Source organism: Homo sapiens, chromosome 9, assembly GCF_000001405.40.
Source record: "Homo sapiens chromosome 9, GRCh38.p14 Primary Assembly".
Taxonomy (NCBI): domain Eukaryota; kingdom Metazoa; phylum Chordata; class Mammalia; order Primates; family Hominidae; genus Homo; species Homo sapiens.
The window spans coordinates 13,472,976-13,488,350 of NC_000009.12; the positions used below are offsets into that span (position 1 = coordinate 13,472,976).

General features: G+C 38.9%; 1 long non-coding RNA gene across 1 annotated transcript in view; it reads left to right on the top strand.

Annotated features, from left to right (window-relative positions):
- Positions 1–14,532, top strand: part of LOC105375977 (uncharacterized) — a 46,773-nt gene extending 32,241 nt beyond the window's left edge. Inside the window, exon 4 of the long non-coding RNA XR_929484.3 lies at positions 14,128–14,532. This is a non-coding gene — a long non-coding RNA (uncharacterized LOC105375977). The remainder of the gene's footprint in view (positions 1–14,127) is intronic.
- Positions 14,533–15,375: the final 843 nt, after the last annotated feature.

Genomic DNA, 15,375 nt, shown 5'->3' on the forward strand with positions numbered 1-15,375 from the left:
TTTCTTTGAGCAGTGTTCTATAATTCTTGTTGTAGAGCTCTTTCACCTCCATGGTTAGCTGTTTTTGCAGGTATTGTATTCTTTTTGTGGCTATTGTAAATGGGATTGCATTCTTGATTTGGCTCTGAGTGTGGACATTGTTGGTCTACAGAAATGTGACTGATTTTTATACATTAATTTTTGTATCCTGACATTTTGCTGAAGTTGTTTATCAGATCTAGGAGCTTTTGGGCAGAGACCACAGGATTTTCTAGGTATATAATTATATAATTTGTGAAGAGAGATAGTTTGACTTTATCCTTCCTGGTTGTATGCCTTTTATTTCTTTCTCTTGTCTGATTGGTCTGGCTAGGACTTCCAGTATTATGTTGAACAGAAGTAGTGAGAGCTTCCTTGCCCTGTTCTGATTCTCAGGGAGGATGTTTCCAGTTATTGCCTGATCAATATGATGTTGGCTCTGGGTTTGTCATAGATGGCTCTTATTATTTTGATGTATGTTTCTAGTTTGTTGAAGGGTTTTACCATGAAGGGATATTGAGTTTTATCAAAACACCTTTCTACATCTATTGAGACAATCATGTGGCTTTTGTCTTTAGTTTTGTTTATGTGATGAAATAAATTATTGATTTGTGTATGTTGAATCAAACTTGCATAAGAGACAAAGCCCGCTTGGTTGCAGTAGATTAGCTTTTTGACATGCTGCTGGATTCAGTTTGCTAGTATTTTGTTGAGGATCTTTGCATCTATACTCATCAAGGATATTGACCTGAAGTTTTCTCTTTTTATTATGCCTCTGTCAGGCTTTGGTATCAGAATGATGCTGGCCTCATAGAATGAGTCAGGGGGAGTCCCTTCTCCTCAATTTTTTGGAATAGTTTCTGTAGGAATGGTCCCAGCTCTTCTTTGTACATCTGGTAGAATTTGGCTGTGAATCCATCTGGTCCTGGGCTTTTTCTGGTTGAAAGACTCTATTACTGTTTCAATTTTGGAACTTGTTTTCAATCTATTCTGGGATTCAATTTCTTCTTGGTTCAATTTTGGGAGGTTGTATGTTTCCAAAAATTTATCAATTTCTTCTAGGTTTTCCAATTTGTATGCAGAAGTGTTCGTTGTAGTTTCTGATGATTTTTTGTATTTCTGTAGGGCAGGTGTTAATGTCTTTTTTGTCATTTCTGATTGTATTTATTTGGATCTTCTTTCTTTCTTTATTAGTCTAGCAAGTTGTCTGTCAATGTTTTTTATTGTTTCAAGTAACAAACTTCTGATTCATTGATATTTTGTATGATTTTCCACACCTCACTTTCATTCAATTCTGCTTTGATTTGGGTTATTTTTTGTCTTCTACTAGCTTTGGGGTGGATTTGCTCTTTTTTCTCTAGTTCCTCTAGGTGTGAGGCTAGGTTGCTAATTTGAGAGCTTTCTAAGTTTTTGATGTGGGTATTTAGTGCTATAAACTTCTCTCTTAACACTACTTTAGCTGTGTCCCAGAGACTCTGGTATATTGCATCTTTGTTTTCATTAGTTTCAAATAATTTCTCAATTTCTGCCTTAATTTCATTGTTTGCCCAAAAATTATTCAGTATCACATTATTTAATTTCCATGTAATTATATAGTTTTGAGCAATTTTCTTAGTATTAATTTCTGTTTTATTATGCGCTGGTCTGAGGACATGGTTGGTGTGATTTTGGTTTCCCTGAATTTGCTGAAGATTGTTTTATGGCCAAATAGGTAGCCTATTTTGGAGTATGTGCCATGTATAAATAATAACAATGTAAATTCTGTGGTTTTGGGGTGGAGAGTTCTTTTGGGGTGGAGAGCTCCTCTGTCTCTTAGATTCATTTGGTCAAGTGTTGAGCTCAGGTCCTGAATATCGTTGTTAGTTTTCTGCCTTGATAATCTGTCTAATACTGTCAGTAGATTGTTGAAGTCTCCCACTATTGTTATTGTGTGGTTATCTAAGTCTCTTTGTAGATCTCTAAGAACTTGCCTTATAAATTTGGGTGCTCCAGTGTTGGATGCAAATCTATTTAGGATAGTTAAGTCTTTCTGTTGAATCAAACTCTTTACCATTATGTTATGTACTTATTTTCTTTTTTGATCATTGTTAGTTTGAAGTCTGTTTTGTTTGAAATTGGAATAGCAACTCTTGCTTTTTTCTGCTTTCTGTTTGCTTGGTAGATTTTTCTCCATCCCTTTACTTTGAGTCTATTTGTGTCATTGCATGTGATAGGGGTCTCTTGAAGACAGCATACAGTTGAGTCTTGCTCCTTTATACAAACTTGCCCTTCTGTGCCTTTTAAGTGGGGCATTTAGCCCATTTACATAGAAGGTTAATACTGATATGTGTGAATTTGATTCTATCATCATGTTGCTAGCTGGCTATTATGCAGATTTGGTCATGTGATTCCACTAGTCAGTGGTCTATGTGCCTAAGTGTGTTTTTGTGGTGGCTGTTAATGGATTTTACTTTCCATGTTTAGCACTTTCTCAAGGACCTCTTGTAAGGCAGGTCTTGTGGTAATGGATTCCCTTAGCATTTGCTTGTCTGAAAAGAATCTTATTTCTCCTTTGCTATTGAAGTTTAGTTTGGCTGGATATAAAATTCTTGGTTGGAATTTCTTTTCTTTCAGAATGCTGAATATGGGCCCCAAATCTCTTCTGATTTGTAGGGTTTCTGCTGAAAGTTCTGTTTTTAGCCTGTTTGGGTTCCCTTTGTAAGTGATCTGCCCATTCTCTCTAGCTGCCTTTAATATGTTTTCTTTCATCTTAACCTTGGAGAATCTGATGACTCTGTGTCTTGGGGATGGTCATCTTGTATAGTTTCTCACAGGGGTCCTCTGCATTTCTTGAATTTGAATGTTGGCCTCTCTAGTGAGGTTGGGGAACTTTTCATAGAAGATACACTCAAATATGTTTTCCAATTTGCTTGCTTTTTCTCCCTCTCTTTCAGAGATGCCAATGAGTCATAGATTTGGTTTCTTTATATGATCCCATATTTCTTGGAGTCTTTTTTCATTCTTCTTTATTTGTTTTTCTTTATTTTTGTCTCACTGAGTTATTTTGGAAAACCAGTCTTTGAGCTATGAGATTTTCCTCAGGTTGGTTGATTCTGCTTTTAATACTTGCAATTGTATTCTGCAATTCTTGAAGTGAGTTTTTCAGCTCTATCGGATCAGTTTGGTTCTTTCTTAAAATGGCCATGTCATCTTTCATCTCCTGTATCCTTTTATTGTATTCCTTAGATTCCTTGGATTGGGTTTTGACTTTTTTTCTGAATCTCAATGATCTTCATTCCTGTCAATATTCTGAATTCTATTGCTGTCATTTCATCCATTTCAGACTGGTTATGAATCATTGCTGGGAAACTAGTGTGGTCCTTTGGAGGTAAGAAAACACTCTGGATTTTTGAGTTGCCAGAATTCTTGCACTGGTTCTTTCTCAAGTATGTGGGCTGATGTTCCTTCAGTCTTTGAAGTTGCTTTATTTTGGATGGTTTTTTGTTGTTGTTGTTGTTTTGCTTTTTTTTTTTTTTTTTGAAGGAGTCTCACTCTGTTGCCCAGGCTAGAGTGCAGTGGTGCAATCTTGCTTCACTGCAAGCTCCACCTCCCAGGTTCATGCCATTCTCCTGCCTCAGCCTCCCTAGTAGTTGGGACTACAGGTGCCTGTCACCACGCCCAGCTAATTTTTTGTATTTTTAGTAGAGATGAGGTTTCACCATGTTAGCCAGGATGCTCTAGATCTCCTGACCTCAGGATCCACCCGCCTCGGCCTCCCAAAGTGCTGGGATTACAGGCGTGAGCCACCACACCCAGCCTGTTTTTTTGCTTTTATCTTCGTTAATGCCCTTGGGTGTTTGATTGTGGCATAAAGTGAATTCAGTCGAATGGCTTTGTTTCTGAAAGACTTTGGAGGGCCAAGCCTCAGCTTAGCACTCCTGGACTGTATGCTCTATCTCTGGTGGGGGGCTGGTACCATCCTCTGACTTTGTTCTCTGGTCCCTTAAGGTTAGGAACTTGCTGCACTGGAGGGAGTGAGATGTTCCCAGTCTGCTGAACACAATACTGTAATGGATGGTGCCAGCCAAAACTCTTCATTAGGGTGGTGGCAGCAGGATCTATGCTGTCTTGCATGTACCAGCAGCCATGTCAGTGTGGCAGGGTGCATACATGCTGGCTGGTGTGGCATATTAGTGGTAGTAGGGCTGCAGTGTTCCCGCACACACTTGCCCATATGTGCATTCTGGCAAAGCAGTGAGGGGGTAGCCATGGGTGAGTGCATGCCAGCAAAGCAACCTGGGGGAGGCTGTGGTGAGTGGAGCATGCAAGCGGGCTGGTATACATTGGTGGGGGCCACTCTGCTGGAGATCTCTGATGGTCAGGCGTGGTCTGCTGGCAAAGCAGCTGTGATGAAGGTCCCAAGGAGCACCCTGGTGGACATCCAAGGATGTGCTGCAAGTGAGTGGAGCCAGGCTGGGGCCCTGGGAGAGGTCAGCAGATAGTGAGGTGCTCAGATTAGCCTGGCCCCATCCCATGGAGAAGCCTGCCCTGTGCTGTCTAGGTCTGAGAGTCACCCCAAATCTAAAGTCTCCTAGAGCAGCATGGCAAGCCTTATGAGATGGGAGTTCCTGACAGTGCTCCACTGCAGACATTCTTGCACCAAACCCTCTGGGCTCCACATAGGCTGGAGTCCTGTGCCTACACCTCTCTAGGCAGCTTTCCTGCTAGCTCAGGGTCTGTGGGGTTTGTGGTGTCTCCTGCTGCCAGGATTCCAGCAGTCCATGGTGAGAGTGGGCCATGCCTTGCCTGTTCAACTCACCCCTTCCCCAGGAGTTCGTGGGGGCCAGGAATGAGTCCTGGTGCTTAGCCCCATGCAGGGTTCTCATCTTCCTCCTACTTCAGCCCAGCATCTGTGTCATCCCTCTGTCCACTCTCAATGCGTTCCCTCTGAAGATCTGCTCACAGTGCACCAGTCTTTCTGACATCCTGGTCTCTATGTGACAGATTTTCCTCTTGGCTGCGTCTGGTCAACCATCTTGGCTAAAACTCCAAAAGGTAATATACTAATTGTATCATTCCTTTTTTCATTTGTTAGCTGGAAAACATCTGTAAAGAGAAATTTCCTCTCATCTGCTTTTTGGTTACCCAGAAAGATGACTTAGTTTAAAGCCTTAAAGTCTGTTGAATATCTGACAAATGAATAGGATTCAGCCAGCATGCCTGCATATGTTTTCTTTTCAAAGCACTTAGACTCAGGTCCAAAATAAGTGGAATGATGTAGACGATGTCAAGATTAATTGGTTTAGAATACACAAGCCTTTCCTTTTCAGTCTTACTAGACAATCTATTAGAGTATTTCTACTGAGAGTTTTTCCCCCTCAATAACTTTAGCTGTATTTAAAGTTAATGAGCTTTTTCAATTAAAGCCACAGATATTTAGCCTTTGGATAGCATTTAGATGAATCAGGGTGTATCTAATTACACTGGGTAAATTCTTAAGAAGCTGAGGAGATTCTTTATTCAGAACAAGCACATTTTAAGTCAGAGTCACGTAGTAGATATCATTCCAACCTGTATGCAAATCATCTTTGTGAAAGGAGCCTCTAGATGTAGCTGAGAGTTTGAGAAATGCATGTAGTAGAAAGCATAGAAAGTACTCTTTTTGATAGAAATTTGTCAATTCTAGTGCTAGAAGGCAAATCAGACATATTCTATTACATGATTGTTCATAGAGCAATTGTAGTTCATTCGTCAGGAGGCCTGTAGTTCACTGACTTATTGGCCTAAATTCAGGGATAGTTAGAATCAGATGTCCAAATAAAGTTAGGAATTTGTTACAAAATGAGTTTTTCAGTGGTCTGGCTAGAATAAGTGAATACTGTGATTGACCAGGCTTGGGATTTGTGGCCACTTTTAGAGCCATGGGATAGCTTCAGGTCCTCCAGAACTATTTGGACTGAGATAGAAAGAGGATGGTTTCCAAGCTGAGATGCTTCAGGCAGTCAGATAAAATAGATGTCCACTAGGCTTAGGTTTTGTGGTTTTTCAACTTTTACTGTCTACCACTTCTTTCCTACCAAGGATCTTACTGCCGTTTTGTCTTTCTGGATAAGACACTTTCGCATAAGTGTCTCCCTATGCAGAAAACTAGAATAAATCTTCTCAATGTGTTTATTAGTTGTTTCCTGAAGATTTTAGTATTTCATTTTGCAGCTTGCCAATTGTTTCCTACACATAATTTTAGTGAATTAGCCTTAGTTAGGCAGTGACAGTTGTTGAAATTACAATTGTGCAATTCTTTTCTGAACATTGAAGTTAATGATTAGATCTCTCTTTCAAGAAGGTTGATTTATTTCAATAATTACAGCATACCATTCAGGACACTAGGGAAAAGTCTTTGTGTTTGTGTGTGTTTGTGTGCACATGTGTTTCATTAAATATTGGAGGAGAAATTTAAACTTTCTCTCTACCTAGTGTCAACTATAGTAAATTCTTGAATTTTGTACTTTATGGATGTTATTTTAATAATTTTCATTAGTAAAGATAATAGGGAGGATATTTCTAGCAGCAAAATGGAAACAGAAAAAAAAAAGTTTGAAGCATTTACTAAAGAAAGAAAAAGAAAAATTTAAGATTATTAAGTATTTTACATAACACCAATAGGCATTAACCAAAGAGTTATCGAAGGTGAAAATAAGATTTCATGTGATAACATTTTTCATGAAGATATATTTTTTAAAATTACAGGTTAATTAGTGATAAGTAATCATCTGCAATACTAATTTTGAGATCCTGTCATAATCATATTATTATCCCTTGTTTTCCAAAAGGTCTAGCAGAATGTGAGAATATTTCAGGCAGAGATCTTGGGACTTGAGTCCTTCATGCCATTCCTCAAGCCATGTACACACAAGTGTGTAACTCTCAAATACTGCAGGATATAACCAAGTGATCACACAATTAGCTGAGAATGGTTATTAATTTGTTGTGCATTCAAAACTTTTCATTTTTAATTAATTGTGTTACGTGCCTTTATATCCCCTGGAGGAAGTATTATAACACATATCCTAGAATGTGTGGGAATTAAATTGATTTACATGTACTAAATGCAGAAGGGTGTATAAAGTGATATATTTAAATGCCTAGGGTAATACATTACTCAGTTTATTGAGAAGGTACTCAATAGATGGCAGCTACTATAATTGTCATATTAAAAACATTAAAATAAGAATATACCTTAGTTTTTAAATAGCTCCAAAAAGGAATATCCCATAATTTACTAAGTAATAAACTACTAGGTTGTTCAATTTTCACTATTAGTAACTTTTCCACTGGTTGAAATTCCTAATTCTTTAGTTTCTATTGTTTCCTTAGGGTAATATGAACAACTGGTTATGAATTTTAATGGTGGAAACTTCATACCTATGTTGACCTTAACTGATCATCTTTTAAGTGTTTGGGAATAAACATTCTTTATGCATATTTTTGAATCTTGTTTTCACACATGTCTCTCACTTTATATACCTCTTAGACTGAAATGTCACAGTTACGTCCAGGAAGATTTACCTGTTACTCAGTGTAGTAGGAGAATTTTTTTCAATGTTCCTCACTATACTGTCATCTCTCTGTCTCCTGACTGGAAGAGAACACCAGTGATTTAGGTCGCTCATGACATTTTTGTAGAAAAATGCAAGTAAGAGATGCATGCTATAGTAGATGTTGTTGTGTAGTACCCAGATTTCCCCAATGTGCCTGGAGCCACTCATTCCCTCAGCTGCTGGGAGTGATGACTGCTAATGGCTCCCAGCTGAGCAATCCCCTAAGCATGGCTGTGTACTGAAAGGGGCATTTAAAAGTTACGCTCCCTGTCTCAGTGTAGCACACATCCAGTGACTTGTTGTGCGGGGCTATAATTGCCTCATTTTGCGACATCTCTGAAAGACCATCACCACTTTGGCATTCCTGTGGGATCAACTCCAGTCTCTGTTGGACCTGCATCATGATTCAACTTGTCCCTATGCCCAGTCCTGCTTTCCTTACTTCCTTACATGTGTTGTTACCAAGAGCAATCCTTAGTAAACATCTTGCATGCAAATGTCTGTCTTAGAGTCTGTTTCCCAGGACTCTCAATGGCCAACAGTTGGTGCCAGGAGTGATCCTTAGAAGTGGATGAAAATGAAATTTTGGAGCCGGATCTGTGTCTGTCTGGTTGGCAGTGAGGCTCCCATTACTGGTGATAGGCACAATATTGATAGCCCCTGGAATATGGTAGCAATAGAACTTTTAATACTTTCACCAGTGGTGAACTGGGAAGAGATACTATGAAAGAAAATACACTAGCTGCTGCAACATCACTGGTATTTGACAAATTAGGTGTGTGTAGGGACAAGGAGAAGTAGTTGTTTTAAGAGCTAAGCATTGGATAGCTGTTGCTCTGGCAATCAGTGCATTGGAAAAATATATGGTAAATGCCTGTGGGTGAGTAATCACCAATTTAATGCTAAATACAAAAACCAGAGTTCTTCTTTGGCAGCATGTAAAGAGACTCATCTTCTGCAGCTGGAGGACAGAAAAGCTGAAGATCAGGCTCAGTTACTTCACTGTTCTTTTTCTTATATGGTTCCCCAGGAAAAGAGACCAACCACAACCATAGAAGAGCTAATCCCAAATGGAACAAATTTATTACATGAAATGAATGACTGAAGTGATGCAAGGGGTGCAGTGAAAGCTGTGCTGCTACATGGCCTCTTTAGGGATTAAGACCTTCATTCTCAAGCAACTGGGAGTGTTTCTGCTGATGGTTCACAACTGAGGCCTTTCTCAAGCATTGCCCTAAATTAACAGGAACTGCTTCATGCAAATTTACCTCCTCCCAGGAGGCAGTTTAATTCAATAACCAATCCACGCAGGTGTAGAAAGACAAGTTATGTGGCTGCCATACAAGCCAACAAACAAGAAAATTAAAACAAAACAAAAAACTCACCTATGGGTTCAGTATTGAAGGGTATTAACTGTAAGGGCCACTATTCTTTTAATGGGTTACATCATACAATTCTGTTCTGTTTCAGATGCCAAAACTTAATAAAGGCATAAACAAATAATGCCTAATAAATAAACACACATAATCCAGACCACAGGTTTTCTTAAAACTATTTTAAAGTAATGGAACTCTTTTTTGTCCAGATTAAAAAAAAATTATTTCAGATTACCCACATATAACAAGTCTGAGAATGGAGTTGCTCTAGTTGAAGAACTTCCCTTTTTCCTTCTTTGTAGTAGTTCATAATTTGTGTAGCAGGAGCCCTCCTTCTCCTTTTCTTCCTTTTTCTTCTTCTCCTTTTCCTCCTCTTTTGCTTCCTTTAATGGACTTCTGGAGCATGTTGGAGGAGCCCCTACGTCTCCTCAGAACAATGTTTGCAAATCACTGCTCGAAATAACTGCATGATAAGGATGCTACAGTGGTGACTTAGACACTGAGTGGGGTGTGGAAGTTGATTTCTTAGTTTCTCTAGCCTTTAATTCTGTAATATTCATTATATCTTCTTGGTCTTTTATTCTCTATATACCAAATCCTTATTTAGCATCTCTTTGGAAATCACTTTCTTTTTCAGCATCTTGGAATAACTAAATTTTTGTTTTTGATTACATCTCCATTACAACTAATCGAATGGTCTACTAACCAAATTTGCAAACTGTTCCTCTGTTTACTCTGAAGCATAAACTGATATCATCCACATCTAGAGCAGCCACTGGCGAAAATGTGACACCAATTTCTGTTAGAGATCATTTCATTTTTTATAAATGACGAGTTTGGGCACAGAGAGGTTAAATGACTTGTCTGTCACATAATTAAACAACAGAGCTGGGCTGGAATATAGATTTTTATTCTGTCAGTCAAAAGTTTCCTATGTACCATTTTGAGCACACCAACAGATGAATTCAAATCTATTTCACCAAGCATTGCTTCTCAACGGCATTACACAAATTTTAAAAAATTTTAAAAAAGAAATTAAGAAAAACAAGATCTATCCCAAAGTTCTAACACATCTACCATCTTCCTTTTTCTATATTCTCTTTCATACCCATAGTAGTTTCACAGTTATTATCGTAATTTTTGCATCCAGGTCCTTTTTCTCCTCCTCATTCTTCCATCTTCTTCTTTTTCTCTTTATCCTCCTTTTCTTTCTCCCTTTTCTCCTTTTACTCCCCCTACTCCCTTTGCCATCTTTTCCCTTTCCTTCCTCCTCCTCTTTTCCATGTACTTTTCCTCCTCCTCCTCAGGGATATCTTGTAGCAAACCTTCCAGGTTCCTCTTTTCATTGAACAAAAGGAGTAAGAGGATCTTTTTGTTTAATCAAAACAAGCCCTTTCTCTTGGATGACGATTCTGGGGAATGGTTGGACAAACCTGCATGTGATATTCAGAGATTTGAGGAGACAGGAGAAACAGATAAACTAACTCCTTTTTTCTGAGATTTGAATGGAGGTTGTGGGTTAGGTTAGCTACAACCAAGGCCTAATGAGTGTAAATGCCTACAATCTTATTTCTACATGGGTAAGGACAGAAAGAAGTATAACAGAGTAGAAACCAAATGACTATGCCTGGCCTGAGTAAAGGTGAGGAGAAAAGGGGGAACGGTGGTTATATATCAGGAAAGAACTAGTCCTGATCTTGTCTTGTGGCCTACAATGGGATTGTGAATATGGTTAAACAAAGAGTTAGATGTACAAGGAACTAGTATATTTGGGGTCTCAGGCTACTAATGAATGGGTTCTCTGAAGTGAGCATGACATCAGGGAATAGTCTTCGAGTGAAGAACTTGCTACTACAAAAAGGGCTCCAATCTGGCCTTCATGGTAAAGACCAGAACAGGGGGAGTATAGCTATATTCTGAGAACAATATTTACCTTCCTGCCACCAAGATATCCCATCAGAGTCCCTTCGGTGTTTGGCAATTTCCAATCAGCTCTGCTCCAGAAGCAGCACTAGTTCCCACAGCCTCCTTTTTCTCCTGGAGAAAATTTGGCTACATGATTTCCAATGAGCTTTCCCCCAAGAGAGCCACAATTCCACTTTGGCCCCTTTCTCCACCAATGTTGACTCATAAAGCAACCAAAACTGGAAATGTTCACTGTTCCACTACTCTGGAGCATCTTCATATGCTGTGGGATAGCTGGTAAGGTAATGAAAAGAATTTGGAAACCAAGGGCTCTCTCTGTTTTGCTAGACAGTTCCCATTGCCAGGTGTCACTGGTGAGCAAACATCACTTTGGTCCCTTTACAAGTTACTGGAGCTGACTTTCCCTCAGCCACTTTTCTTTGGGCATAGCCGGAAAAGACCATATTATATTCTGCAGCTAGCAACTTCCAGCAACAGGCAGCACATGGAGAAATGACTCAAGTAGACTAGATTCCTCCCATCTCTTAGCCCCCAGAGAGCATATTGCCAAATCTCTGGCAATATTTGGGAGGCAGTTGAGGACTTGGTGGATTAGCCTAAACTTTATGACATACCTGGCTACAGGGACCTGACAAGGGTACGTAAGTTGCATCCTAAACCATAAAATGGCGAACCTTAGCTAGGCTTGCCTTCTACTTCTTCACTTCCTCATGCATTATGGACATTTCCCATATTGCTACTTGGTTTTCTGTATTTGTTTATTGAATGATCTTTATAATTATAATTTGATTGCAGCATAATGATTCCCTTAAGAGGGTGTGCAATAATTTGTTAGGCATTCATTGATTGCTGGATATTTTGGTTTTTTCCAATGTTTCATGATTATAAATAATGTTGCAAAGATATGCCCATCGCTTCTTTTCTTATTTTAAATCATTTCCCTAGTGTGCATTCCCAAGAGTGGGATTACTGAGTCAAGTGTAAACATTTCAGTTAAAGAAATCCAAGGGGAAGAACACATTCTATACACTTGAAAAGTAAACTATGAATCTGGAAAATACCAGTTGACTGGGGCTGAATCTGCACCATTTGCATTAATTTAAAATGAAGGTAAACCTTCCTCTTCTATAACTAAGTCCTGTGAAATAGCATCAACCACATAGGCTCTACCAACACGCTGACCAAACAGACTTAACTGCAGGCCTGTGATACAGCACAACAGAAATTATCTCACCCTTGGGTTCAGTACAACATCCAATTGCATTATCATTTTCCCAGTAAATAGCGCTTGCCATCTCTAACTACAGCTGTGTGAAACCAACAGCGTCCACTTGGCGGGGAATCACATTCCAAAGTGTTACTCAAGTATTGTCCAGAAATAAAACTTAAATCATCTCTCCTGGCTGGCTGAGTGTAAGGTACTTTCTATTTACCAAAGGCTAAAATCATGCCTTTTAAGCAAACTTTGGCTTTAAGTATCAGTTTTCTGACAGGGGAGGGTATTTTTATGGCCTCAGAATGTAAGGTGAACTCACAAAACTCTTCCTTCTTCCTCTTCCCATGGTTTTTGGCATTCAGAATGTATTCCTGGAGCTCTACCTAAAGGCAAATTCCACAGTTGTCTTACCATCTCCCAAGGGAAACATATTTCACAATAGTTACACTAAGGTAATATTTGTTTCACATCAACAAAAATTTATTGAGTGTGTATGCAGCAAGGCATATAGGAAGAATATGGGCTTGACTATCGTACATACTTGCTGTGTATCCAAAGACATTTATGAAATTTTCCTAAATTCCAATGGCCTCATCTATTAAATGAAATGAACAATGCCACCTTCACGAAGTAATTGTGAGTTACAAATAATATAAATGAGAAAAGTGCTCAGTATACAATAAGCAGTCAATACATGTGAATTCTTTTTCCTGGGTCCTAAATGGAATACTGAAATGAAAGACACAGTTTCTGTTCTCAAAGCCTACAGAATAGCAGATGAGCACAAACATAGCTATGATACCAAACAGCCTGTGACAAGTATCATAAAACAAAAACAAAGTTTGGAGAGAAAGAACAAGGGGAGAGAGAGATGTCTACAGAGTGGTCTAGAGTCAGTACTAGATATGTTTTAGATAGCAAACTGAAAATAAGCATGGATCTGGACTCAGCGGTCATGGGTTTCACCGAGTAACCTAACTTCTTTGAGACTAAGTTTCTTCATCTGGAAATGAAAGAACTTAGATTCCCACTTTACAGAGATTGAAAAGCATAATTCTCTTTTGTAACTATAACATTATTTGTATTTTGTTAGTTATTTTAATAATGAGAACTCCAAATTTAAGTATCTGGATGGCTAGGTGCGGTGGCTCACACCTGTAATCCCAGCACTTTGGGAAGCCAAGGTGGGCGGATCATCTGAGGTTAGGAGTTCAAAACCAGCCTGGCCAACATAGTGAAACCCAAACTCTATTAAAAATACAAAAATTAGCTTGGTAGTGGCCCATGCCTGTAATCCCAGCTACTCAGGAGGCTGAGGCACGAGAATCTCTTGAACCCGGGAGGCAGAGGTTTCAGTGAGCTGAGATCGTGCCTGGGCAACAGAGTGAGAATCTGTCTCAAAAAAAAAAAAAAAAAAAAAAAAAAGTATCTGGGAATGCTTTAAGAAGGTGGTGGAATATGAAATAAATAAATTTTATAAAATGGGTTGGGTGTTGACCACATATTAGAAGAATCAGCTGAAGGAGCAGTTTAAGTAAAAGATCTTGGGTAAGAAAATGTACCATCGGATGAGTGAATGATTTAAATGGAAAAATACTGTAAAGTTACTTGAATCCATATGGGATATACTTCGTATGGATAGTTACCTGAGCATGCATTTGTGTGTTATTTGACATCAGGGGAAGCTCTTGACATTTTTTAAACGAGAAGTAAAGCCACTCTCGTCTCAAATTTTAGAAAATAATTCTCACAGTGGTAAAGAGACGGCACAATCCCCATCCTTTGTTGAAAAACCATGTATATTACACATCAAGGAGTCAGCAATTCAATTAAAGAGGTTAGTTTTAAACATCCTGTGGCCTGAATTATGGTCTCCAAAGATGTTTATATTCTGAGGCCCAGAACATGTCAATATGTTATCTCACAAGAAAAAAATAAGTAAAAGGAGGAAGGGGAGATTTTGCTGGTGTGATTAAGGATCTTCTGATGGAAATATTATTTTTGGATTATCCAGGTAATCACAAGCGTACAGATAACAGGCAGGCAGGAATGTGAAAATCAGAGAGAAGAGAGATGTGCACCAGAAGCTGGAGTAATGTGCTTTGAAGATGGAGGAAGGGACCATAAATCAAGGAATGCAGACAGCCTGTAGAAGCTGGGAAAGGCAAGGATGTGGATTCACTCGAGTCTCTAGAAGAAACGCAACCCCGCCAACACCTTGATTTGAGGACGTCTGACCTTCAGAATGAGAAAATGATACATTTGTGTTGTAAGCCACCCAGTTTGTGAAATATGTATCAACAATTGAAAACTAGTACATAGTCAAATACTCAATCTCTGTTTTTTTTAGCTTATCATTTTCAATCTCTGTCTCCAACCCACAAACCACATGCATCATAAATAAATTAAAATACCAAAACTTTTCTTCTAGAATTTTTTTGGGAATACAAATTCATATCATTGAACTAAATATTTTAGAACCCATAAAAAAGGTCAGATTTAATCTTTAAAAAAATCCAAGATCTGTGTGTAAGTGGTGCTTTTGCCTACTTGGTTTTGTCTCATCAACTAGACACTATTTGGAGCCAGGGAGTCACTGAATTGCCCATTGCAATGTAGTCTCAGCATAGGACTGGAAGGGCTCCACAGAAACAAAGTTAAATTCCTGATGCTGCTTCTCCAAACAGCAGTACCCTTCAAGATGTATGCCCATTCGTAAGATTTTTTTTTTTTTTTTCCTATTCCACGTTCAATTTGGCCCTTGTACAGCCTGGAATTTAGAGGAAGAGAAACTCACTAACTTCTAAGCGCAGTTAAAGTTACAAGAACCTGGAAAGGGGGAAAATGTATCGCAAACTAAGATGCTTTAAGAACTTACCAGGATTCCTTCGTGGCCATTCTTTTGTTTTCTTATCCCCTATGACTTCAGCCAGAAAACATTAAAATGAGTTCCTTATACTGTGCATGGTTTGCAGGTGAAGGTTGTCTGAGCTTTAATTTGCTGTTTGATTCGCCCCAGGAATTTCAGGTGTTGCACGAGGGACTAAAGTACAGAGCGTACCTAAGTTCTTGGTTGTTAGCCATTGGACCATGGCCACAGTATTATTAAACCATCCAAGCACGCTGGGTCTCAACCACAAAATTTAATTTTCTCTACTGCAGGGACTAATCAACTACCATAGACTTAAAGAGACTGTTTTTATCTACAAAAAATTTCCCCCTTCAGACTGATGTGGAGCTAATTTTAGTTTTGTCTATCCTC